The sequence below is a fragment of the Homo sapiens genome, chromosome 15 (assembly GCF_000001405.40).
Source record: "Homo sapiens chromosome 15, GRCh38.p14 Primary Assembly".
Taxonomy (NCBI): domain Eukaryota; kingdom Metazoa; phylum Chordata; class Mammalia; order Primates; family Hominidae; genus Homo; species Homo sapiens.
In genome coordinates this window covers 43599469-43625387 of record NC_000015.10, presented here as the reverse complement: position 1 = coordinate 43625387, position 25919 = coordinate 43599469, and the positions used below count along the sequence as shown (strand labels likewise).

The 25919-nt window shown below is 49.2% G+C and overlaps 1 protein-coding gene, 1 non-coding gene and 1 pseudogene across 2 annotated transcripts, besides 2 other annotated features; 1 reads left to right on the top strand and 2 right to left on the bottom strand.

Annotated features, from left to right (window-relative positions):
* Positions 6588-25825, top strand: STRC (stereocilin). The gene is made up of 29 exons (NM_153700.2): positions 6588-6729; positions 7032-7817; positions 7906-7930; positions 8698-9955; positions 10912-10974; positions 11076-11192; positions 11335-11501; positions 12157-12343; positions 12482-12597; positions 12879-13011; positions 13364-13546; positions 13851-13889; positions 14073-14240; positions 14404-14469; positions 14951-15076; positions 16054-16112; positions 17185-17308; positions 17413-17525; positions 19989-20124; positions 20542-20738; positions 20937-21027; positions 21236-21392; positions 21977-22146; positions 23837-23992; positions 24374-24516; positions 24706-24854; positions 25095-25192; positions 25281-25428; positions 25628-25825. The coding sequence occupies exons 1-29, from the start codon at positions 6666-6668 to the stop codon at positions 25714-25716; spliced, it is 5328 nt and encodes a 1775-aa protein (NP_714544.1). The 5' UTR covers positions 6588-6665; the 3' UTR covers positions 25717-25825.
* Positions 9178-10051: an enhancer, noted in NCBI's record as "H3K4me1 hESC enhancer chr15:43907535-43908408 (GRCh37/hg19 assembly coordinates)". NCBI's record gives its function as "activates a minimal SCP1, AML or CMV promoter by ChIP-STARR-seq in naive H9 embryonic stem cells {active_cell/tissue: H9 hESC(naive)}" and the evidence as "EXISTENCE:reporter gene assay evidence [ECO:0000049][PMID:30033119]".
* On the bottom strand, positions 11603-11706 carry LOC124903598 (small nucleolar RNA U13). The gene has a single exon (XR_007064825.1). It is a non-coding gene; the product is annotated as a small nucleolar RNA U13 (small nucleolar RNA).
* Positions 11890-12389: an enhancer, noted in NCBI's record as "H3K4me1 hESC enhancer chr15:43905197-43905696 (GRCh37/hg19 assembly coordinates)". NCBI's record gives its function as "activates a minimal SCP1, AML or CMV promoter by ChIP-STARR-seq in naive H9 embryonic stem cells {active_cell/tissue: H9 hESC(naive)}" and the evidence as "EXISTENCE:reporter gene assay evidence [ECO:0000049][PMID:30033119]".
* RNU6-554P (RNA, U6 small nuclear 554, pseudogene) lies at positions 22740-22845 on the bottom strand (annotated as a pseudogene).

Below are 25919 nucleotides of genomic sequence, written 5' to 3'. Positions count from 1 at the left end.
CATTTTATTCTTTAACTCTTTCCTCAGTGAAAACAATCTGGCTTTAATTCTACAGGAATGGAAGTTTATTCAACAAATTTGTTGAGTTTGTACATTCCAAACATTGTTCTAGACACTTGGGATATATCAGTGAATGAACAAAACAGAAATCCCTGTCCCTCCTAACTAGTTCCTCATATGATCAAATAATAAAACGTCCGTGAAGATAGTAATTTTATCTCCTCCCCTGTTTTGTGGTTGTTGTTTATTTGGTTTGGTTTGGTTTCTGAGACAGGGTCTTGCTCTTTCACCCAGGCTGGAGTGCAGTGGTGCAGTCATAGCTCACTGCAGCTTTGATCTTCCAGGCTCAAGTGACTCTCCTGCCTCAGGCTCTCAAGTAGTTGGGACTACAGGTGCATACCACCACACCCGGCTAAATTTTTTAATTTTTTGTAGAGATGGGGGTCTCGCTGTGTTGTAATACGTCCAAAACTGAACTTATTACCACTTCTTCAAACCTGTTCTTCCTATTCTAATCTCAAGAACTGCTAAACAGTTTCTATGGGCTGGGGGAGTCCTCAAAGATCTCCTTGCTGCTTAACTTTTTCTGTATTTTGTTTGAAGGTCTTTCACTTAAGATGCTATTTCTTGTACCAATTTTTGTATTAAGATTCTTTAAGTTGGCAAGGCGCAGTGGCTCACGCCTGTAATCCCAGGACTTTGGGAGGCCAAGGCAGGCAGATCACCTGAGGTCAGGAGTTTGAGAGCAGTCTGGCCAACATGGAGAAACCCCGTCTCTACTGAAAAATACAAAAAACATCTGGGCATGGTGGCTTGCACCTGTAATCCCAGCTACTGAGGCTGAGGCAGGAGAATCGCTTGAACCTGGGAGGCGGAGGTTGCAGTGAGCCGAGATTGTGCCATTGCACTCCAGCCTGGGCATCAACAGCAAAACTCCATCTCTAAAAAAAAGAAAAGATTCTTTTTTTTTTTTTTTTTCCGAGTTGGAGTCTTGCTCTGTCTCCCAGGCTGGAGTGCAGTGGCACAATCTCAGCTCACTGCAAGCTTCTCCTCCCAGGTTCATGCCATTCTTCTGCCTCAGCCTCCCAGGTAGCTGGGACTACAGGCGCTCACCACCGCGACCAGCTAATTTTTTGTATTTTTAGTAGAGATGGGGTTTCACCATGTTAGCCAGGATGGTCTCGATCTCCTGACCTCGTGACCCGCCCGCCTCGGCCTCCCAAAGTGCTGGGATTACAGGCATGAGCCACTGCACCCGGCCAAAAAGATTGGGTTGCAGAAGAAGAATTCATCTTGAGCTAGTCTAATCATAGTGGTGGTAAGATTTAGTGGATCTGTTCCAGTACCTGCCACATCAAGACACTTTATAATACAAGTGAATGAGCAAAATTGGGTGGGTGAGTAATAGTATCTCCATTTTACAGATAAGTGAATTATAGAAACTTCTTGGGGTCACCAGACTAATAAATATGGAATGAAGACCTAGAATTCAGAGATCTGATATCAAAGTGCAAACATAATTTAACTGTCTTAATCAGAAGAGTCAAAGGCTCTGCTGCAAGAATAAATTAACCCCTAAATCTCAGTGGTTTAGTATAAGAAAGACATATTACTCACTCATGAAGGTTTCAATACTGGTTGGGTAACTGTTCAAGGCAGCTACAGTAAATTTTTATTATTTATGATGATTATGTTTTATAAAGGTGCAGCAAACAACTGAATTAGTGACTACTGAACCACTGCTCCCAGGGGAAATACAGGGTTAGGTTCCTGTGAGCCTCTGGTGACAACATTTTCATCAACTGATCAAATACATAACCTTGGTTTTCTTTGTGTTTCTGTTTATAGACACCTTACTTAATATATGTTGTTGATTGATTAACATTGAACTCATGGCCAACAGCACTGTGCCTCATGCTTGAATGAAGCTTTTTTTTTTTTTTTTTGAGACAGAGTCTCCCTCTGTCACCTAGGCTAGAGTGCAATGGCGCAATCTCGGCTCACTGCAACATCTGCCTCCTGGGTTCAAGTGATTCTCCTGCTTCAGCCTCCTGAGTAGCTGGGATTACAGGTGCCCGCTACCACGCCCAGCCAATTTTTGTGTTTTTAGTAGAGACAGAGTTTCACCAGGTTGGCCAGGCTGGTCTCGAACTTCTGACCTCAGGTGATCCACCCGCCTCAGCCTCCCAAAGTGCTGGGATTACAGGCATGAGCCACTACGCCCGGTAGTGAATGAAGCTTTTCCAGTATAATTTTCTCTATAAGGCACATTACAGCCTTCTTGCTCTTAAGAACACCACACAACACTTTGGCATTAAGCTTAAGGGCCATTTTAAACAGTGAAATCACCAACAAATAGCCCCAAAATGCAAAAAGTGCATCACTAGATAGACCACAAAAAAGACACTTACTGGCCAGGTGTGGTGGTCACGGCTGTAATCCCAGCACTTTGGGAGGCCGAGACGGGCAGATCACGAGGTCAGGAGATCGAGACCATCCTGGCCAACATGGTAAAACCCCATCTCTACTAAAAATACAAAAAATAGCTGGGGGTGGTGGCACATGCCTGTAATCCCAGCTACTCAGGAGGCTGAGGGAGGAGAATCACTTAAACCAGGGGGTCGGAGGTTGCAGTGAGCTGAGATCGCCACTGCACTCCAGTCTGGTGACACAGCAAGACTCCGTCTCAAAAAAAAAAAAAAAAGACACTAATATTTACACCATGAGAGCTGCAACAAGAAGGCAGAGCACTGCCTTGTTCCACCTCAGCTGGGAACGTGTATATCAGGTGACTCCAACTTGTCACCTCTCAATACAAGTCTGTGAATGACCTCAATAGCACTGTAAGTATTGATTTTGGGTTACAAACATTTAGTGACTAGGCAAATCCACAAATACAGAACTCACAAATGACAAAGACTGACTGTAAATGCTGTGGTAATTTGGAGCCTCGGGCTATTTTGACCTTGTGACACTGCCATCTCAACATGTGGTTTCTAGGTTGCCTCAACAGGGAAGAGATTGTTGGAGGCTCATTTGCTAGCTCTTAAATTCTTTGGTCAACCACAGTCCATTGAACAGAACTAATCACCTGATCCCAGCTAACTGCAAGAGATCTGGGAAATGTGAGAAACACCTAGATATCTAGTAAGCAATAAATATTTCAGTTACCAAAGCCAAACCAAAAAAAGAGAAAAATAATTGTACTTTACAAAGGGAGGCATCTGGCTGAGCATTGTGGCTCACGCCTGTAATCCTAGCACTTGGGAGGCCGAGGCAGGCAAATTGCCTGAGCCCAGGAGTTTGAGACCAGCCTGGGCAACATGGCAAAACCCTGTCTCTACAAAAAATACAAAAAATCAGCTGGGCCTGGTGGCACGCACCTATAATCCCAGCTATTCACGAGGCTGAAGCATGAGAATTGCTTGAACCCAGGAGGTGGAGGTTGCAGTGAGCTGAGATCACACCACTGCACTGCAGCCTGGGCGACAGTGTGAGACTCAGTTTCAATTAAAAAAAAAAAGGGAGGCATCTGTTCTTGTCAGGCAGAGAGTGTCCTGTGGGAGTTTTGGGGAGTGAGGATGTTTCAGAGTTCTCAACTCCTGTGGCTCTTCCCAGGTATACCCATTCTAACTGGCAGATCACAGAGTGTTCCAGTTATCACCAGTCTTATCCATTTCATTTTAGCAGGACATATGATTAATTTCTTGTTCTGGACCTTTGTAATTTAAATTTGCTGGTTGTTCTCTGTTTCCATTTGGTCACCTGTAGGTTGGAACTTGTCTTGCTCTTGTTGAACTTTATCAAATTATAAGCAATTACCAATACACTCAAATAGCCTGGTATATGTGCCATAAACCCTAAGCACTTTGCCGTCAGTTTGCACATAGTCTGAATCCTTAGCGGCAAGAGAATTGCTTAATCAATGGCTTACAACAGCAGAACGTGGACTGCCAGGAAAATTTCCATCCTGAGTTAAGGGAATCCTCATTGTTTCTCTCTCTGGTTGACTCAACTAGTTCCATATTTGTTCTGAAGGTCTTTCACTCAAGATACAACTTCCAGATAATCATTTATGTATTCATTAGAACTCCTTTAGTTTCAAGTAGAAAAATTCATCTTGAGCTATTCTAATAATAGTAATAGTAACATAGAGTGAATGTTTATTCTGTACCAGTGTCTGGCCCATAATAAGTGCTTAATCTTTGTTGAATGAATGCTAGACATTGCACTAAGTACTTTAAATGCATTATCTAATTTAATCCTCACAAAAACTCTACACTAGGGTTTTTTCCTTTTTACAGTAAAAACAACAACAGCAACAACAACCACAACAACAAAAACCCAAAAAACCAAAAACAGAGATTTAGAAACTGCCCCAGGACACACAGCTAGTAAATGTTGGAACCAGGGTTTGAACCTAGACCATCTCATTTTTTGCTACCCTATGAGGAAAGAAGGATAATTTATTATAAGAGGGTTGTTACAGAATGAAGGGCAGAAATTCAGAAGGATTACAGGATGGGCTGGAACCACAAAGCTGTTGGGAACTCAGGTCGTATTCTCCCTCAGATTCAACTGTCTGCTTTTTAGACTAGGTGTGGTATCCTTGATGGGCAAAGGGAATATTGGTAAAATTACACAACAGATCATTTCACTGATCTCAACTTTTGATTTGCCTTGGAAAATCCCATCATTGCTCCCAGCTGTCTTTGTGACCTGGGTTAAGTCATTCCATTTCTCTGGGCTTCAATTCCCCTGTCTATAAAATGAGAAGTTCTTACCAGAGGATTCCTCAGGTCTCTTCTGTGATCCTGGGAGGCCGAAGCAGGAGGATTGCTTGAGTCCAGGAGTTTGAGGGTGCAGTGAGCTAGGATCATACCACAGTATTCCAGCCTGGGCCATGGACCAAGACCCTGTCTCTAAGTAAATAAATACACAAAAATAAAACTCTATGATCCTAAGTGAATCTTCTAGATCAGAAGCACATTAATAATGAAGTTCCATGTGTGGATTTGAGGGAGAGAATGGGGAAGGGTTCTAGGGAAAGAAGGACAGAATAAAAGTTTGGGTATAGCTTCAGTGTTGAATTACTATTTAGAGTTGGTATAAAGTGAAGGCCTTTGGGGAGATATAGATGGAGAATGGAAAAGACTTCTAATCCTGGACTGGGGCAGTAGCTCAAGCCTGTAATCTCAGCACTTTGGGAGACTGAGGTGGATAAATCACTTGAGGTCAGGAGTTCAAGACCAGCTTGGGCAACATAGTGAAACCCCGTCTCCACCAAAAAATACAAAAATTAGCCGTGCGCGGTGGCGCATGCCTGTAGTCCTCAGCTACTTGGGAGGCTGAGACAGGATAATCGCTTGAATGAAGGAGGCAGAAATTGCAGTGAGCCAAGATAGTGCCACTGCACTCCAGCCTGGGTAACAGAGTGAGACTCCATCTCAAAAAAAAAAAAAAAAATGCCGCGGTGGCTCACACCTGTAACCCCAGCACTTTGGGAGGCTGAGGTGGGCAGATCACTTGAGGTCAGGAGTTCAAGACCTGCCTGGCCAACATGGTGAAACCCCATCTCTACTAAAAATACAAAAATTAGCTGGGTGTGGTGGCACGTGCCTGTAATCCCAGCTACTTGGGAGGCTGAGGCAGGAAAATCGCTTGAACCCAGGAGGCAGGGGTTGCAGTGGTCAGATAGCCCCACTGAACTCCAGCCTGGGCAACAGAGAGAGATTCCATCTCAAAAAAACCAAAACCAAAAAACCAATAAAACAAAAAACAAAAATGACGAAAAAAGACTTCTAACCCTGACCAGACCAGATTATTTTGAATGAAATCTCTTTCTCTGTTCCATGAGCAGTTCTGTGTGTAGGGAGATCAGTCCCTGTGCATAGTGATTTAATCTGGTTTCTGTCTTCTCAGCTCAGAGTTTTTGATAGGGCTTTCACCTAGGCCACAGAGAAAGAACCAAATGATAGGGGATCCCGGAGGGGGAAGGAAAGACCCAAACATTTGAATGGCCTAATGAGCAAATCACATTTCTCTGGGTCTGTTTCCTTATCCATAAGTGAAAAAGTTTGGTGTATGTGATCTCTGGGGTACTGCTCAGCTCTTGACACTCTGTGGTTCTGGGTAGTAGTTGAAAGCAGCTCTCCTCTTCCTGAATTCTCCATCCTTGGACTGGACCTCTCGTCTGTTTATACCTTGCTGTGCAGTTTGTTTCTCCTGGGCGTCATTTCTTCTTCAATTTCCTCAAATCCTACTTGCTTCTTAGCTCCTTCATATCCTCTTTGTTTTCTTTGCTTCTGCAGAACCCCAGATTACACCCCTGGTCTCCAGTTCTCCATCTCCATGTCTGCCTGTTCCTTTCTGCATCACTGGCTCCTAACTCAAGCAATCTCCTTGGGTTTCTCTGAGGGGCCCCTGGGATCCCCTATCATTAGTCCCTCTCACAGAAGCATACCCTTCTCCAGAGCTAAAGGATCAGATATTCAGCGGCTCAGGTAACAAACCTGCTGTCAGGTTACACATATTGTTTCCTGAAAGACCACACTACAGTGTCAGTGGAGCCTCAGGTTGCCTGCAGTGCCCTGCCCTCACCTGGCTATCCCACACAGGTGAGAATAACCAGAACTCACCTCCGGTACCAGTGTTCACTTGGAAACATGGCTCTCAGCCTCTGGCCCCTGCTGCTGCTGCTGCTGCTGCTGCTGCTGCTGTCCTTTGCAGGTAAGAAGAACAGTGAGCAGAACTGGGGATGAGGAGGAGGGTGGCTGGAAAAAGACTTTAAGAATATGGAGGTGAACCTGTTAGATAGAAGGACAAAGGAGAGAGGCAGAGACTTGTGCAAAAGGGAAAAATGAGGGTTAAGAAAAGCAGGCCAAGACTTACTGTAGGCCAGTGAAAGGGGTTCAGCTCACCATCCCCTCACCTCATCTTTAGATCCAGGTAGGGAACTGTGCTCAGGGGCAGGGTTGAGTTTGGGCTCTGTGTTCCTCTCCTTCAGTGACCTCTGGTTTCTCTCCTTACAGTGACTCTGGCCCCTACTGGGCCTCATTCCCTGGACCCTGGTCTCTCCTTCCTGAAGTCATTGCTCTCCACTCTGGACCAGGCTCCCCAGGGCTCCCTGAGCCGCTCACGGTTCTTTACATTCCTGGCCAACATTTCTTCTTCCTTTGAGCCTGGGAGAATGGGGGAAGGACCAGTAGGAGAGCCCCCACCTCTCCAGCCGCCTGCTCTGCGGCTCCATGATTTTCTAGTGACACTGAGAGGTAGCCCCGACTGGGAGCCAATGCTAGGGCTGCTAGGGGATATGCTGGCACTGCTGGGACAGGAGCAGACTCCCCGAGATTTCCTGGTGCACCAGGCAGGGGTGCTGGGTGGACTTGTGGAGGTGCTGCTGGGAGCCTTAGTTCCTGGGGGCCCCCCTACCCCAACTCGGCCCCCATGCACCCGTGATGGGCCGTCTGACTGTGTCCTGGCTGCTGACTGGTTGCCTTCTCTGCTGCTGTTGTTAGAGGGCACACGCTGGCAAGCTCTGGTGCAGGTGCAGCCCAGTGTGGACCCCACCAATGCCACAGGCCTCGATGGGAGGGAGGCAGCTCCTCACTTTTTGCAGGGTCTGTTGGGTTTGCTTACCCCAACAGGGGAGCTAGGCTCCAAGGAGGCTCTTTGGGGCGGTCTGCTACGCACAGTGGGGGCCCCCCTCTATGCTGCCTTTCAGGAGGGGCTGCTCCGTGTCACTCACTCCCTGCAGGATGAGGTCTTCTCCATTTTGGGGCAGCCAGAGCCTGATACCAATGGGCAGTGCCAGGGAGGTGAGTGTGGCCAGGGCTGGGACTGGGATGTGGCAGGGCAAGGAAAGTGAAATTGGGGTAGTTTTCTTCCTTACTCTTTCCCTCCTAGGTAACCTTCAACAGCTGCTCTTATGGTAAGTAACAGGAGACCAGTTCTGAGGGATTGGGCCTGGAAAATCTGGAGGTGAAGAGCTGAAGACCTCAGCCTCTAGAGAGGAAAACTGATGGGAGGAGTGTAGTTTAGTGGTTTTGGGGTGTGACTGTCTGGGTTGGTGTCCCAGCTCCACCTCTTCCTAGCCATATGACCTTGAGCAGGTTACATAGTCTTTCTATACCTCAGTTTCCCCATTTATAAAATGAGAATGATAATATTAGTTACCACAGAGTTGTTGCACCCGGTTAAATGAGTTGATACTGTGTATGCAAACGACTTAAAACCGTGCTGGCACATAGCGCTTAATAATGTTAGCTAGTAAAGATGGGATTTGGAAAATAAGGACACAGCTGGATTCCTCTACCCCCTTACTACTTCAGTACAACAATGCCAGACAGTAGTTAGACATATTGAGTTGCTGAGCAGATTTCCTAACATGAGGCCCGCTGAGGGTTGTGTTTAAGCTATCTAAAAGCATACGAAGAAAGGAGACAGAAGGGGGCCAGGTGGACAGAAAGAATTCCAACTGGGGCTTCTCCTAGGTGATTTTGGACCTTGGCAGGGCAGCTTTCTCTTTTTTGCCCCGTTGCAGCATTTCAACCAGTAACGCCTAAACTCTCAGGGACCTCGCTTGTAGAAAAGCCTATGCTTGCCATGCCCCTTGAGGGCTCTGAGTCAGGGTCAGAATCTTCAGCTGGAGGAAATGTGAACTGACCAGATCCTGCCTGCTCCTCCCTCTGCACCCAGGGGCGTCCGGCACAACCTTTCCTGGGATGTCCAGGCGCTGGGCTTTCTGTCTGGATCACCACCCCCACCCCCTGCCCTCCTTCACTGCCTGAGCACGGGCGTGCCTCTGCCCAGAGCTTCTCAGCCGTCAGCCCACATCAGCCCACGCCAACGGCGAGCCATCACTGTGGAGGCCCTCTGTGAGAACCACTTAGGCCCAGCACCACCCTACAGCATTTCCAACTTCTCCATCCACTTGCTCTGCCAGCACACCAAGCCTGCCACTCCACAGCCCCATCCCAGCACCACTGCCATCTGCCAGACAGCTGTGTGGTATGCAGTGTCCTGGGCACCAGGTGCCCAAGGCTGGCTACAGGCCTGCCACGACCAGTTTCCTGATGAGTTTTTGGATGCGATCTGCAGTAACCTCTCCTTTTCAGCCCTGTCTGGCTCCAACCGCCGCCTGGTGAAGCGGCTCTGTGCTGGCCTGCTCCCACCCCCTACCAGCTGCCCTGAAGGCCTGCCCCCTGTTCCCCTCACCCCAGACATCTTTTGGGGCTGCTTCTTGGAGAATGAGACTCTGTGGGCTGAGCGACTGTGTGGGGAGGCAAGTCTACAGGCTGTGCCCCCCAGCAACCAGGCTTGGGTCCAGCATGTGTGCCAGGGCCCCACCCCAGATGTCACTGCCTCCCCACCATGCCACATTGGACCCTGTGGGGAACGCTGCCCGGATGGGGGCAGCTTCCTGGTGATGGTCTGTGCCAATGACACCATGTATGAGGTCCTGGTGCCCTTCTGGCCTTGGCTAGCAGGCCAATGCAGGATAAGTCGTGGGGGCAATGACACTTGCTTCCTAGAAGGGCTGCTGGGCCCCCTTCTGCCCTCTCTGCCACCACTGGGACCATCCCCACTCTGTCTGACCCCTGGCCCCTTCCTCCTTGGCATGCTATCCCAGTTGCCACGCTGTCAGTCCTCTGTCCCAGCTCTTGCTCACCCCACACGCCTACACTATCTCCTCCGCCTGCTGACCTTCCTCTTGGGTCCAGGGGCTGGGGGCGCTGAGGCCCAGGGGATGCTGGGTCGGGCCCTACTGCTCTCCAGTCTCCCAGACAACTGCTCCTTCTGGGATGCCTTTCGCCCAGAGGGCCGGCGCAGTGTGCTACGGACGATTGGGGAATACCTGGAACAAGATGAGGAGCAGCCAACCCCATCAGGCTTTGAACCCACTGTCAACCCCAGCTCTGGTATAAGCAAGATGGAGCTGCTGGCCTGCTTTAGTGTGAGTGCTCTGCCAGAGGGAAAGCTCCTAGAACAGTGAGAAGGCCCTCCAGGGGAATTCCTCGAATACTCAGAGGCAGTAGTGTGGGGTAGTAGTTGAAGCACACAGCTCTAGAGTCAGACAGGCTTGGATTCATATCTTGGTTCTGTGACCAGCCTTGAATGAGTTATTTAACTTCTCTGAGCAATATTTTTCTCGTCTCATTTATAAACTAGGGATGATAATGGTATATGAGATAATACATGCTGTGGGCTTAGCACAGTGCATGATACACAAACATGCAATAAATATTACCTTGTTATTCTTTTGGGCTCTTTGACTCTCTCACTTTCTGCACCAGAAAGAAAAAGGATCAAGTTAGAGGACTCTAAATTTTTCCCCTAGAGAGTGAGAATTGGAGGCTGGCAGAATACAGGAAGATAAGGTAGGAATGAGAAAGATTCAGGGACACTACCAATCAGAAGACTTTGGTTCTAGGTTCAACTGTGCCACAAATTAGTGTGATCTTAGGCAAGCAATTTCATTTAGTTTTTCTGGGCTTCAGTTTTTAGTCTGTAGAATGGAGGGGTGAGAATATGTTAAACACCATAATTAATTCACTGAGTGCCTATTATATGCAAGGCACTTTGCTAGGTTCTGTAGGATATATAAAGATTTCTTACTCCATGTTGGGGCCACCTTTTTCAAACCCTGGGCCCAGTAAAATGGAATTAGATAGTCTCATAGTATTTGGTTCAGGTCTACAAGTATTAATTGAGCCAACTATGGACCTGGCATGGGAGAGGGTACAAGAGAAATTAGAGATATGATCCCGGACCTAAAAGAGCTTAATATCTGAAGAATCACACTTGAGATGATGGACAAGCATCCCAGCAAGTGGAGCTGGAATGCCTGGGGGAGCTGCAGGAGAGACAGAGAAGACAGCTCTGTTGGCATATTGTCTTTCTTCCCACCAGCCTGTGCTGTGGGATCTGCTCCAGAGGGAAAAGAGTGTTTGGGCCCTGCAGATTCTAGTGCAGGTAACAGGTGGAGGGCACATGGGTGGGCTGGGTGACAGCCATGGCTGGAGGTCCCTGCCCCGTGAGGTGAGGCCATACCCACCATGACCTCCTATTCGCAGGCGTACCTGCATATGCCCCCAGAAAACCTCCAGCAGCTGGTGCTTTCAGCAGAGAGGGAGGCTGCACAGGGCTTCCTGACACTCATGCTGCAGGGGAAGCTGCAGGGGAAGCTGCAGGTGAGCACTGAGAAAGGGGAGCAAGGGCACCTGGAGCCTAGTGTTCAGAGGGCTTGCTTTAGTGGGAGGAGGAACTCCAGAGAGGAAATGGCAGGGATACTGAGCATCTCCAGAGGCAGAATCCATTCCTGTGCCCCTACAGGTACCACCATCCGAGGAGCAGGCCCTGGGTCGCCTGACAGCCCTGCTGCTCCAGCGGTACCCACGCCTCACCTCCCAGCTCTTCATTGACCTGTCACCACTCATCCCTTTCTTGGCTGTCTCTGACCTGATGCGCTTCCCACCATCCCTGTTAGCCAACGACAGTGTGTAAGGTTCTTGCACTACTCCTCCTGCTCCTGTCACGGTCAGGCCAACCGCATCCACCTGGAGCAGCCCCTTCCGGAGCTCCTCTCTGTTTTTTTCTTTCATGCCAGATAGGCAATGTGCCAACATCGTAGCAAGGTTTGAGAGAGGCACATCTCACGCCTGAGTGTGAAAACCCAATCATTATGCTAATGAACTACAAAAGGATCAGAGAGCTCCTCTCTATTAAAACCAGGGAGAGGATGGGCGTGGTGGCTCATGCCTGTAATCCCAGCACGTTGGGAGCCCGAGGCAGGTGGATCACTAGGTCCGCCTAGTGAGTTCGAGACCAGCCTGGCCAATATGGTGAAACCCCGTCTCTATTAAACTACAAAAATTAGCCAGGCATGGTGGTGGGCGCTTGTAGTCCCAGTTACTCTGGAGGCTGAGGCAGGAGGATAGCTTGAACCTGGGAGGCAGAGGTTGCAGTGAACCAAGATCGTGCCACTGCACTCCAGCCTGGGTGACAGAGCGAGACTCCGTCTTAAAAAAAACAAAAAACAAAACAAAACAAAAAAACAGGGAGAGTCTCCTTCCTATCTAGACAGCAGGGCTACAGAGGGTCAGAGGAAAACAGTTTGGAGGAAGACAAAGGGTTAAGACCCATGACTCCTCGCAGCCTGGCTGCCATCCGGGATTACAGCCCAGGAATGAGGCCTGAACAGAAGGAGGCTCTGGCAAAGCGACTGCTGGCCCCTGAACTGTTTGGGGAAGTGCCTGCCTGGCCCCAGGAGCTGCTGTGGGCAGTGCTGCCCCTGCTCCCCCACCTCCCTCTGGAGAACTTTTTGCAGCTCAGCCCTCACCAGGTATGAGAATCATCTTCTTTACTTGACTGGCCCATCTTCTGCTAGTGGGGACAAAGAGTCAATGGCATGTCTCTCAGTGGCCCCTCCCTGCAAGAACCCTATAGTGACCCCAGTGCGAGCTAACCTTCCCCATCTCAGATCCAGGCCCTGGAGGATAGCTGGCCAGCAGCAGGTCTGGGGCCAGGGCATGCCCGCCATGTGCTGCGCAGCCTGGTAAACCAGAGTGTCCAGGATGGTGAGGAGCAGGTACGCAGGTGAGTTGTTGTGGGATCAGTAACCAAGGCAAGAGTGGAAGAGGTAGAGAGAGGAAGGCACAGCTGTCACGCTGGGTCGGTGTTCTAGGAAGAAAGGGGCAAGAGAGTAGGCAGTGGCCTCAGGCAGCATAGAGTTCCAGGAGAGAGGTCTATAGATGGTGCCCCTGTGTAGTGGTGTAGTGTCAGAGTGCCCAGTGTATGTACCCATACCATCTGCTGCCAGGCCTGCCTTAGTGCTAGTCTTGGGGACCACACAAAGGTCAGCTTCATGCCCTCCTCAGGCTTGGGCCCCTCGCCTGTTTCCTGAGCCCTGAGGAGCTGCAGAGCCTAGTGCCCCTGAGTGATCCAACGGGGCCAGTAGAACGGGGGCTGCTGGAATGTGCAGCCAATGGGACCCTCAGCCCAGAAGGACGGGTGAGCCCCTCAGCACAAGCCTACAAGACTTTAGGCTTCCCCTGGGTCTGTGTGGATGGCTTTCCCATTGTGTCAACTTGAGCACAGTGGTGCCAGCCCCCATCCCACTTTTGCAACCTCCATTCCTTACTCCATGGCCATTCTTACCTGTTACCACCTCTTCCTGGCCCTTCTCTATCTGGTCTGTAGCACCCCAAACATACCCTTTGCCATTTTGAACCTAATCTACTCCAGTCCAATCCCTAGTTCCAAACCCTAGCCCAGGCCCTGGGAAATTCAGATGTGGGATTAGAGAGGAAGTTCAAGGTTCATCTGTCTTTTCTCTCCAGTCCTAAACCTTCTTTGGTTACAGGTGGCATATGAACTTCTGGGTGTGTTGCGCTCATCTGGAGGAGCGGTGCTGAGCCCCCGGGAGCTGCGGGTCTGGGCCCCTCTCTTCTCTCAGCTGGGCCTCCGCTTCCTTCAGGAGCTGTCAGAGCCCCAGCTTAGAGCCATGCTTCCTGTCCTGCAGGGAACTAGTGTTACACCTGCTCAGGTTTGCCTGTCTCACTCCCTGGCATGTACCCTCCATCCCCGCTTGAGCCCCAGTCAAGAGAATCCCATTCAGGGATAAAAGCAGCCCCTCCTTTCCCTGGGTGAACAGTAGAGGTAAACTCTGTCTGCAGGAGGACGCCTTCATTCCCTTTCCTCAGATCAAGAAGGGACCTGAGTCACTGAGGATGGTTACTAGGGATGGTTAAGAGGCAGCGGGAAGTTTTGGAGGGTTTGCCTTAGGAACCCACTTAGGACCTGGCTGCTGGGTCCTGAGAGCTGTTGTTTTCGGTCCCATCCCAACACAGGCTGTCCTGCTGCTTGGACGGCTCCTTCCTAGGCACGATGTGAGTAGCAGCAACTTCTCAGCCTCCCGCCAGAGGTCTCTATCCTCTTTTAACCTGGCTCCTGCATCTGCCCCTCCTCTCTCTCCGCTCCCCTCATACTTACTGCCTTGCTGCATTGTGATTGTTGTCTTCCCCAACACCCTTCCCTTCTTCTTCAGGCCTCTTGTCTCTCTTGCTCTTTAGCTATCCCTGGAGGAACTCTGCTCCTTGCACCTTCTGCTACCAGGCCTCAGCCCCCAGACACTCCAGGCCATCCCTAGGCGAGTCCTGGTCGGGGCTTGTTCCTGCCTGGCCCCTGAACTGTCACGCCTCTCAGCCTGCCAGACCGCAGCACTGCTGCAGACCTTTCGGGTATGAGAGTGGCAAGGAGGATGAGATAATCAGGGATACCGGCTCTTTCTGGTTGGGAGGAAGGCATCTTCCCTGAGGCCAGGGAAGGCCTTTCATACCTCCCCACTTACACACACACACACACACACACACACACACACACACACAACCAATTCTCATGCAGGTTAAAGATGGTGTTAAAAATATGGGTACAACAGGTGCTGGTCCAGCTGTGTGTATCCCTGGTCAGGTAAGTGTGAGATCTCCCAACTGAGCTCCTCTCCCCATTCTGGGGCAGTTTCATATGGCTGGTGCTACCTCCCACACTACCCTGCAGTGGCCCTGAGAGTTCTGGTTAGCTCTGTGCCCATTAGCAGCCCTCCCCAGTGCCAGATGCAGGACAGCATGATCCACTCACATTGTCCTAGACTAATGTCAAAGCTGGAAGGGCCTGAGAAATCTTCCAGGCCACCCACCCTGCTTTCAGATGAAAAGACCAAGGCTGGGAGAAGCTAAGGGACTTTGTTTGCCTGGTGCCTAACTAGCAGCAACACTTGACCACAGCAGCCTGCAGTGTGAGGCTCTTAGGCGTTTATTGCTACAGTGGCAAATGCCATTCCACTTCTGTCCTAGCTTTGGTCCCTTTCCACCCCCATGGTTCCTTTTCTCTGAGTGCTAAGTACAGACTCTCTCACCTATCACTACACTGCTATACCCATCACCGCCAGCAGCCTATTCCCACCACCTGGCCAGACTGCCTGCTTCCCCTGCTCCCATTAAAGCTGCTACAACTGGATTCCTTGGCTCTTCTGGCAAATCGAAGACGCTACTGGGAGCTGCCCTGGTCTGAGCAGCAGGTAATTCTCCCCACTTAATTTCAGAACTTCCTCCCTCAATGTAGTCTACCTTCTTTACCTATCCCTTAGCCCTATTTGGCCAGCTTATCCCTACTATCCTTTATTTGATTGTTTGAGATACAGTCTCACTCTGTTGCCCAGGCTGCAGTGCAGTGGCATGATCAGAGTTCGCTGTAACCTCAAACTCCTGAGCTCAGGCAATCTTTCTGCCTCAGCCTCCTGAATAGCTAGGACGACAGGTGGTTACCACCATGCCTGGCTAATTTTTAAATTTTTTTTTTGTTTTTTGAGATGAAGTCTTGCTCTGTCACCCAGGCTTGAGTACAGTGGCACAAGCTTGGCTCACTGCAACCTCTGTCTCCCGGGTTCAAGCGATTCTCCTGCCTCAGCCTCCCGAGTAGCTGGGACTACAGGCACTCCCCACAATGCCTGGCTAATTTTTTTTTTGTTTTAGTAGAGACAGGGTTTCACCATATTGGCCAGGCTGGTCTCGAACTGCTGACCTTGTGATCTGCCTGCCTCTGCCTCTCAAAGTGCTGGGATTACAGGTGTGAGCCACCATGCCCGGCCAATTTTTAAATTTTTTGTAGAGACAGACAATACAAAAATGTGGACACTATGTGGAGACACTATGTTGAGGTACTATGCTGTCCAGATTGGTCTTGAACTCCTGGCCTCAAGCAATCCTCCTGCCTTGGCCTCCCAAAGTGCTGGGATTACAGACCTGAGCCACTGCACCCAGCCCCCTAGTATCTCTTATAATGTGACTTGCTTTTCTTTTTCTTTCTCCTTCCCTTTTCTTTCATTTCTTTCTCACTCTCGAGAGAAGAGTGGGCATCTGGGAGAGTGGGAGGCTGGTGGGTCCCACAGAGTGAGGAGGCAGGACTGGGTCCAAGGCAGTCCTGCCTCTCCACTCTAGGGGGTATCCTTGGACAGTGTCTCTTCTGGGAAGGGGCTCGTCTTTCTTTCTCTTGTAGGCACAGTTTCTCTGGAAGAAGATGCAAGTACCCACCAACCTTACCCTCAGGAATCTGCAGTGAGTAACTTGTGTTGAGCAGTGCGCTGAATTCGACCAACATTTTTTTGAGTGCTTACTATGTGCCAGGCACCATGTGATATGGAATGGGGGATATAGGGATGAATGATGCATAGTCCCTGCCTCGTGGACGTTCTCCTAGCACCTCCCTTTGCCCTCCTTTCCTTCCACAGTGCCATGCCTATCCTGACTAGAGCCAAAGGACTCAGAAAACCTGGATTCAGGTTCCAGTCCTGTCACCTACTTGTCCTCTTGGGCAAGTCATTTAACGTCCCTGTGTCAGTTTTCCCTTCTTTAAATGAGAATTACAATGGCACCAGCCTCATAGGTAGTTACTGTGAAGATTAAATGAGGTAGGTCATGTAAGATATTTAACACAGTGTTTGGTCCATTGTAAAGTCCCAGTAGTCATTTGCTACTGTTAGTTTACTTCAGGATGACTTCAGAGGCACTGGCCAAGCAAGAATAAATAGGAATAAGAAGGTATCACTTTACTTACACCCACATTAGAAGAACAATGGGCTTCAGAATCTTTTTTTTTTTTTTTTTTTCGAGACAGTCTTGCTCTGTTGCCCAGGCTGGAGTGCAGTGGCGCGATTTCGGCTCACTGCAACCTCTGCCTCCCAGGTTCAAGCGATTCTCCTGTCTCAGCCTCTGGAGTAGCTGGGATTACAGGAATGTGCCACCATACCCAGCTAATTTTTGTATTTTTAGTAGAGATGGGGTTTCACCATTTTGGCCAGGCTGGTCTCAAACTCCTGACCTCAGGTGATCCACCCGCCTCAGCCTCCCAAGGGCTTCAGAATCTAAGACATGGCTCTAGTTTCAGTTTACCACATTTCTAGCAGAATGATGTTGGGAATGTCACCTGACTTCCATAAATCCTTATTTTCTCCTCTGATAAACAGCAGTGATGTTATGGGGAGCTGATGAGATATCTATGTAAAAACATTTCTCAAACCATAAATTACGGTGGATGAACATCTGTACTTGTGTTGAGAGTACTGATATCAAGGAGCAAACAGGCTGTTGTATGTGTTGAATGAGCCTCTCCCCACTCACACACCCACAGGGCTCTGGGCACCCTGGCAGGAGGCATGTCCTGTGAGTTTCTGCAGCAGATCAACTCCATGGTAGACTTCCTTGAAGTGGTGCACATGATCTATCAGCTGCCCACTAGAGTTCGAGGGAGCCTGGTGAGAGGGGGTGCCTGGACTTTAGTGGGAGCAGGGAGGCTGGGACCCTAGGTATAGAACCCAGCTCCTATGTTCTGCTCTGGCCTCACACTGCTTCCCTACAGAGGGCCTGTATCTGGGCAGAGCTACAGCGGAGGATGGCAATGCCAGAACCAGAATGGACAACTGTAGGGCCAGAACTGAACGGGCTGGATAGCAAGCTACTCCTGGACTTACCGTAAGTACTGCAGCTAGAGATATTGGCCCCTCAGAAAGCTCAATCTGGGGTGAAGATCTGCCCTTAGGGAATGCCCTGGAGGAGGTAGTTTTTCTGTCTGGTAGTTCCCTGACATAATTTATAGCCCAAAGCAGAGGATTTTATTCAAAGTTGCTCTATGTATTGACTGGTTCCCAGAATATGCTCCAGCACAGGGCAGCTGAGGGTGGCAACACTGTATTGAAGCCTGCCAAGTAATCTTACAATAACCTAGTCCACATTAATTGAGATTGAGACAGAGCATCTGAAGTGAGGGAGGCAATGCTCCAAATCTGCCCCAGAGGATTGTAGTTTGCTCAGGGCACTGTGTTCTTAGTGCATTCAGAGGAGTAGATCGAGAGAAAAATATATGAAAAATGTGATAAATACCTTCAAATACCTGAGGGGCTATCAAGTAGAAATTAGATTGTCATATTTATGAGTGGCCCCATTGGGCAAGACTAAGAGTAGTTAACGGAGATCAGATTTTTACATAGTATAAGAAAAACTAAGGTAGTGAGTTCCTGGTCCTTGGAGCTGTTCGAGCCTAAGCCAGATGGCCCCATGGCAGGAATGTTGTAGAGCACGTTCATATACAGGTTGTGGGAAGAAAAGGCTATAGGAACCCAAGGCTCCTCCCTACCCATGGAGAAATTTATTAGTATGTTACTCATATGCTGCTTTTCTCATTTTACCCCTACCACCACCCCGTTGCCATCCGCACTGTAAGTCAGGATAGGAAAATGCTGGTGTTACAGTCTTCCTGGGGAATATGGAGCTGAAGTGGAGTAAAAGCAGTTGACTTCATTCCTACTTTTTTCTTTTTTTTCTTTTTTTTTTTTTTTGAGACAGAGTTTTGCTGTGTCACCAAGGCTGGAGTGCAGTGACGTGATCTCGGCTCACTGCAACCTCCATCTTCCAGGTTCAAGCAATTCTCCTGCCTCAGTCTCCCGAGTAGCTGGGACTGTAGGTGTGCACCACCATGCCAGGCTAATTTTTGTATTTGTTGTAGGGACGAGCTTTCACCATGTTGGCCAGGCTGGTCTTGAACTCCTGGCTTCAAGTGATCTGCCCACCTCGGCTTCCCAACATTCTTATATTTTTATAGGCCTTTCCACAGATTTCAGCTCTTGTATGACTTAGCCCAGTTCCAGAACTGGTAATCCTAGGTAGGGTACAGGTTATCACCTCTGATTTCGGGTAAAAGGGATTTATTTATTTATTTGTTTATTTATTTATATTTTTGAGACAGAGTCTCGCTCTGTCACCCAGGCTGGAGTGCAATGGTGCCATCTCGGCTCACTGCAACCTCTCCCTCTGGGGTTCAAGCAATTCTCCTGCCTCAGCCTGCTGAGTAGCTGGGATTACAGGCGCGTGCCACCACACCCGGCTAATTTTTGCATTTTTAGTAGAGACGGGGTTTCACCATGTTGCTCAGGGTGGTCTCGAATTTCTGACCCTGTGATCTGCCTGCCTCGGCCTCCCAAAGTGCTGGGATTACAGGCATGAGCCACTGCGTCCGGCCTGTTTTTACTTTTTTTTAATGCCATTCAGATCTGTTTAAATATGTGGGTTCTGTGAGATAATTTAGAATCCCAAGGTTACAGATGAGGTGAAAGATCCTAGACCATGCATCAAAAAACTTGAGTTTCTCATTTGTGAAAGAAGGATAAGAGAAACACCTATTTTGTCTGGGTGCAGTGGCTCATGCCTATAATCCCAGCATTTGGGGAGGCCAAGGTGGGTGGATCACGGAGGTCAGGTGTTCAAGACCAGACTGGCCAACATGGCAAAACACCATCTCTACTAAAAATACAAAAGTTAGCTGGGCGTGGTGGCACGTGCGTGTAATTCCAGCTATTCGGGAGGCTGAGGCACGAGAATTGCTTGAACCTGGGAGGTGCGGGTTGCAGTGAACTGAGATCGCAGCACCACTGTGCTCCAGCCTGAGTGATGGAGTGAGGCCAGGTCTTGTTGTAGGATCAAATGAGATAACACCTGAAAGAACTTTGTAAATTGTATAGCACGTACAAACAAGAAGGGACCTCTTCACAAGCAGAGGAAGGGTGGTCCTGTGGAAAAAAACGGGAATTGGGAGTGAGAGACCTCAACATTTGATCTCTGTGAACCTCAGTTTTTTAATCTATAAAATGGGGAAATGTTAATGGTACTTAATATTTGGAGCTTTTGAGTCCATTAGATCAGGTAGGATTGTTCGTTATTTTTTTTTTTTAGGAAGACTAGAAATATGTTGCTCCCTTTTTCTCCCCCACTCAAGCTTGATGGTGGGAATTGGCCCTGGAGCTGTTTACTATCAGTTCCTGTCCAGCTTCACTAAATTTGGTCTGGGGTCACATCTTAGCTGCGGACTGTGGGGTTTTGTGGTCCCTTCTCGACTTGGCCCAGCTCCACCTGAATCCTGTTGTTGTCAAATTGCTGTAATAGGATCCAGTTGATGGACAGACTATCCAATGAATCCATTATGTTGGTGGTGGAGCTGGTGCAAAGAGCTCCAGAGCAGCTGCTGGCACTGACCCCCCTCCACCAGGCAGCCCTGGCAGAGAGGGCACTACAAAACCTGGTAAGAGTCCACCCTACCAGACTCAGATTTGCTGCCCTGGGCAATTCTTGCTCCTCAGACAATGCTCTCTGACTGTCCCCCAACCCTCTACTTCTTGCTTTCTTGCTGCCAAACAGATTCCTGTCTACAAGGCCTGGCCCCTGTTTTGCCTCTGGGTTCTGTTCCTTGATAATATGCTTCACGTTACTTGTCCATACCTCTTGGAGTCCGAGAAATCTCTTGGAGTCCACCTCTCAGTCTTTCTGCCTGCTCCTATCTGGGCTCATTGCTTAAGGAAGTGAACAAAGGTAGTGAGCATCATAGGGTGCTGAGCTGGGAGCAGGAGGGAGGGAAGGTTAGGGGGCTTGGTGTCTTGATCAAGGTGTCTGGTATTCTGAGTCAGAAGTGCATTGTCCAAGTTCTGATGCTCTTCTCCAGGCTCCAAAGGAGACTCCAGTCTCAGGGGAAGTGCTGGAGACCTTAGGCCCTTTGGTTGGATTCCTGGGGACAGAGAGCACACGACAGATCCCCCTACAGATCCTGCTGTCCCATCTCAGTCAGCTGCAAGGCTTCTGCCTAGGAGAGACATTTGCCACAGAGCTGGGATGGCTGCTATTGCAGGAGTCTGTTCTTGGGTATGGACCTTCGAGAACTTCAGATTCTAACTCATTCTATACCCAGTCCCTCAGCCACCATCATCAGTGGCAGCCTGTTCCATATTCTTAAGGTCCCCTGGAGCCCTGTGTCCGAAATCCTAGCATGTCCTCTTTTCCCCTTCCTTTTCCTCACAGTTCCCTCAGCTCCCCAGCCCCCGATTTTCTTCCTGTCCCCAGGAAACCAGAGTTGTGGAGCCAGGATGAAGTAGAGCAAGCTGGACGCCTAGTATTCACTCTGTCTACTGAGGCAATTTCCTTGATCCCCAGGGTGAGATGAAGGAAGAAGGGAAGGGAGTAAATGCATAGAGGGGACTGGTGAGCTGGTTATGGGGACCCGTGGCCAAAGAGGGCAAAGGATATGAAGCCTAGATCTGGGGGGAGACTGCAAAACAGAGACAGGACTTTGGACTTAGAGCTATAGCAGCAGGTCCTGATCTGTCCAGATCTCCCCACTCTCCTTCTACCTTCTCATGCAGGAGGCCTTGGGTCCAGAGACCCTGGAGCGGCTTCTAGAAAAGCAGCAGAGCTGGGAGCAGAGCAGAGTTGGACAGCTGTGTAGGGAGCCACAGCTTGCTGCCAAGAAAGCAGCCCTGGTAGCAGGGGTGGTGCGACCAGCTGCTGAGGATCTTCCAGGTGAAACTACCCAAATACTTATATGTCCAGCAGGATGTACAGGGAGTATCAAACGGTCTGGGTTCTACATGTGCTCTTCCCTGGGACTGGGTTTTCTAATTTATAAAGCAAAGAGTTTAGAGGGATGATCTTCAAGCCTCTTGTAGTTCTAGAATTCTGTAGTTCTGGGAGTTTGTAAACTATTAAGTTTTCTTTTAGCCCAGAACTTCCATTTTCCTGCTCTCTCGTGTCTGCTCTAGACTCAGCTCTAGCTCGGCTAAGTGTGGAGCTCTCTGCTGGGGAGATCCCTAGAAGCTTTGAAGGAGACATTGTGAGGCTGGAGAACTGGGTTCAAATTCAGTGCTACCATTAAATCTCTGAATAACATCCTCAGTCTTCCATCTATAAAAGTCTTGGCATCTCCAATCACTTCTTGTTCTATTATCTCCTAAGCCCTATACATATTACTCTGTAATACTCCTTTGATCCCTATTTCTCACAGTGCTCTATCCTCCAAAGGTTGGAAGACTCACTCTATCTACAGATATCTCTCTGGGCATATTTTATTACTGCGCTGACCTCCTGGCCCTGCCTTCCCCCTTCAGAACCTGTGCCAAATTGTGCAGATGTACGAGGGACATTCCCAGCAGCCTGGTCTGCAACCCAGATTGCAGAGATGGAGCTCTCAGACTTTGAGGACTGCCTGACATTATTTGCAGGAGACCCAGGACTTGGGCCTGAGGAACTGCGGGCAGCCATGGGCAAAGCAAAACAGGTTAGGGATGGAGAGCCAACTGGGGTTGGCCATGAGGAAGCTATTTGGGTGTGATGTAGGACACAAAGAGAATGGAGAGTTGGATGAGAGGTGGGGGAAGCAAGAGATAGAAGAGTTAGAAGATTTGGGTCACAAGTAGGAGGTGAAGGGAGATAAATATTGAGGAAAGAGAGCTAGTATAATGAATAGAGGGACGAAAGCAGTGGTTACCAAATTTTAATGCATATCACGATCATCAAGGGAACAGATTTTTTTCTTTATTTTTTTTTCTTTCTTAAAAAAATAATGGCATGCTTCGGCTGGGTGCAGCGGCTCACGCCTATAATCTCAGAACTTTGGGAGGCCAAGGCGGGCAGATCACGAGGTCAGGAGATCAAGACCATCCTGTCTAACACGGCGAAACACGGTCTCTACTAAAAATACAAAAAAGTTAGCCGGGCATGGTGGTGCACACTTGTTGTCCCAGCTACTTGGGAGGCTGAGGCAGGAGAATGGCGTGAACCTGGGAGGGGGAGCTTGCAGTGAGCCGAAGTCAAGCCAATGCACTCCATCCTGGGTGACAGAGCAAGACTCCATCTCAAAAAAAAAAAAAAAAAAAAAAGGCATGCTTCATGAATTTGCGTGTTATCCTTGCACAGGCGCCATGCAAATCTCTGTATCATTCCAATTTTTTGGGGTATGTGCTGCTGAACTGAGCATGGGAACAGTGCCAGTGCCAGATTACCATGCTTCACTGACTTAATAAAAACCTTTGGGGAGGCTGGGCGCAGTGACTCATGCCTGTAATCACAGCACTTTGGGAGGCGGAGGCAGGTGGATTGCTTGAGCCCAGGAGTTAGAGACCAGACTGGGCAACATGGTGAAACCCTGTCTCTACTAAAAATAGAAAAAACATTAGCTGGGTGTGGCGGCACATGCCTGTAATCCCAGCTACTCAGGAGGCTGGGGTAGGAGAATCCCATGAGTGCAGGAGGTGGAGGGTGCAATGTGCCAAGATCGCACCACTGCCCTCCAGCCTGGGTGTCAGAGCAAGACCCTGTCTCATAAATTAAAAAATAAGCCTCTGGGGGAAAGAGTCTAGACATCTGCATCTCCTTTTTTTTTTTTTTTTTTTTTTTTTGAGACAGAGTCTCACTCTGTCACCCAGCATCCAGGCTGGAGTGCAGTGGTGTGATCTTGGCTCACTGTAACCTCTACATCCTGGGTTCAAACGATCCTCCTGCCTCAGCCTCTCAAGTAGCTGGGACTACAGGTGCACCACACCTGGCTAATTTTTGTATCTTTGGTAGAGATGGGGTTTCACTATGTTGCCCAGGATGGTCTCGAACTTCTGGGCTCAAGCAATCCTCCCACCTCAGCCTCCCAAAGTGCTGGGATTACAGCTGTTAGCCACTGTGCTGGGCCCTAGGCATCTGTTTTAATAAGCGTCTCTGTGTCTGATGCACATAAAAGTGTGGAACTCATGGACTAGAGTTAGTTTGCTCTTCTTTTCCACTGATTGTAATGTCTTTCAAAACACCTTAGAGGAACTGTAAGGCAACGGTCTCATTTTATAGTGGAGGAAACTAAAGAAAAGGCAAATGATTTACCTAGAGTTATACAGCTAAGGGCAGAGGCAAGACTTAAAACCCAGCAGTATGACTCCCAATCCACTGCTTTTCCACTCACATTGTTCCTGTCTTTCTCCTAGTTGTGGGGTCCCCCCCGGGGATTTCGTCCTGAGCAGATCCTGCAGCTTGGTAGGCTCTTAATAGGTCTAGGAGATCGGGAACTACAGGAGCTGATCCTAGTGGACTGGGGAGTGCTGAGCACCCTGGGGCAGATAGATGGCTGGAGCACCACTCAGGTAACACTTTTCCTCCTCCCTACGGCTTCCCAAACACCCATCCCACAGACCCAGCCCTATAGATCATCTAAAGCCCAAGGAATTTTTTTCCTGTGACCCTACCTGGTCCTTCTTTCTATCTTTTGTTGATACCCCATACTAGTGACCTTCAGGACTCTGATTTATTCACTCTGAGGCCCTGGACACATAATACTGTCTCCTACCTCTTTTCCTGGAGGCTTCCTCTTTTTCTTTCCTTTTCTTTTCTGAGTCCTCAGCCTTCCCCATGACTCCTTAGGTCTTAATAGTAACAGAATATAACCCAGTAACACCTATCACTTCCCTGTCCATTAATTCTCCATAACTTTCCTCCTTCCCCTCTTCTCCCACCCCCCACCCCAGCTCCGCATTGTGGTCTCCAGTTTCCTACGGCAGAGTGGTCGGCATGTGAGCCACCTGGACTTCGTTCATCTGACAGCGCTGGGTTATACTCTCTGTGGACTGCGGCCAGAGGAGCTCCAGCACATCAGCAGTTGGGAGTTCAGGTCATTTGTGAAGGGGCTGAGGGTGGTGGTGCTGAGGTAAAGGTGGACTTACTGGGGAAAGAAGGATCATGAAGGTCTGGTCCCATGGAGGAAGGGAACTCATTTGAAGCCATCTCTTCCTTTGTCTCATGACCACAGCCCCTTTCACTGAAGCCGAATTCTTCTTCCTTCCTTCCTACTGTTCTACAGCCAAGCAGCTCTCTTCCTCGGCACCCTGCATCTCCAGTGCTCTGAGGAACAACTGGAGGTTCTGGCCCACCTACTTGTACTGCCTGGTGGGTTTGGCCCAATCAGTAACTGGGGGCCTGAGATCTTCACTGAAATTGGCACCATAGCAGGTGGGGAGCTGGGCCACTGCTGGTGCAAGTTGGTTTGGTTTCTATACCATGGGTGGACTGGATGGAAGACTGCCCTGCAATTCTTAAGGTGGGGGCCTGAGGGTGTTTAAATAAGGGGCTAGAGACATATTGGGGAAGGTCTATGATAGGGCACTTTGGGAGTAGTTAGAGAAGGTCTATAGGTTTGAAGAGAGGGAAGGTCAGTCTAAGACAATGTTTGGATGCCACTTGCTTCAACAGCTGGGATCCCAGACCTGGCTCTTTCAGCACTGCTGCGGGGACAGATCCAGGGCGTTACTCCTCTTGCCATTTCTGTCATCCCTCCTCCTAAATTTGCTGTAAGTATTAATGGACTGGGGTGACCACAGGAGAGCCAGGGCCCAATGGGGACTACATGCATGCACTGATTCCTACCCCTGCCCTCAGGTGGTGTTTAGTCCCATCCAACTATCTAGTCTCACCAGTGCTCAGGCTGTGGCTGTCACTCCTGAGCAAATGGCCTTTCTGAGTCCTGAGCAGCGACGAGCAGTTGCATGGGCCCAACATGAGGGAAAGGAGAGCCCAGAACAGCAAGGTGAGTTCCCAGCTGCACAGCTTGATCCTCCATCTCCTGACCCAGAATCAAACCCCTAATTTGGTGCTGTCTGGCTCTTAGAGTGCACCCAGGGAGATCCCTGGAGTGAAGGAGTCTACAGGCAGAGCGCTAATTTCCAAGTATCAATGCTCCTGGAGAGCTGAGTTGTGATATTACTCCCATTCCCTGTCTATTATAGGTCGAAGTACAGCCTGGGGCCTCCAGGACTGGTCACGACCTTCCTGGTCCCTGGTATTGACTATCAGCTTCCTTGGCCACCTGCTATGAGCCTGTCTCTACAGTAGAAGGAGATTGTGGGGAGAGAAATCTTAAGTCATAATGAATAAAGTGCAAACAGAAGTGCATCCTGATTATTTTCAGAAGCTGATGAGGAATATGGGTAAAATGTTAATGCTTTCCACCCACCTGAGAATCAGTGTTCCTGGGTTGCCATATCTGGAGTCTCTTTCCATCATAAATAATCCCACTGC

What these genes read in the sequence shown, in the direction of transcription:
- STRC (NM_153700.2), top strand. Translation starts at nt 6,666, where the DNA reads ATGGCTCTCAGCCTCTGGCCCCTGCTGCTGCTGCTGCTGCTGCTGCTG. An exon ending in GGCTCCTTCCTAGGCACGAT is followed by an intron (nt 13,890 to 14,072) that starts GTGAGTAGCAGC and finishes CTTGCTCTTTAG; the next exon opens with CTATCCCTGGAGGAACTCTG. An exon ending in CCATGGGCAAAGCAAAACAG is followed by an intron (nt 22,147 to 23,836) that starts GTTAGGGATGGA and finishes TCTTTCTCCTAG; the next exon opens with TTGTGGGGTCCCCCCCGGGG.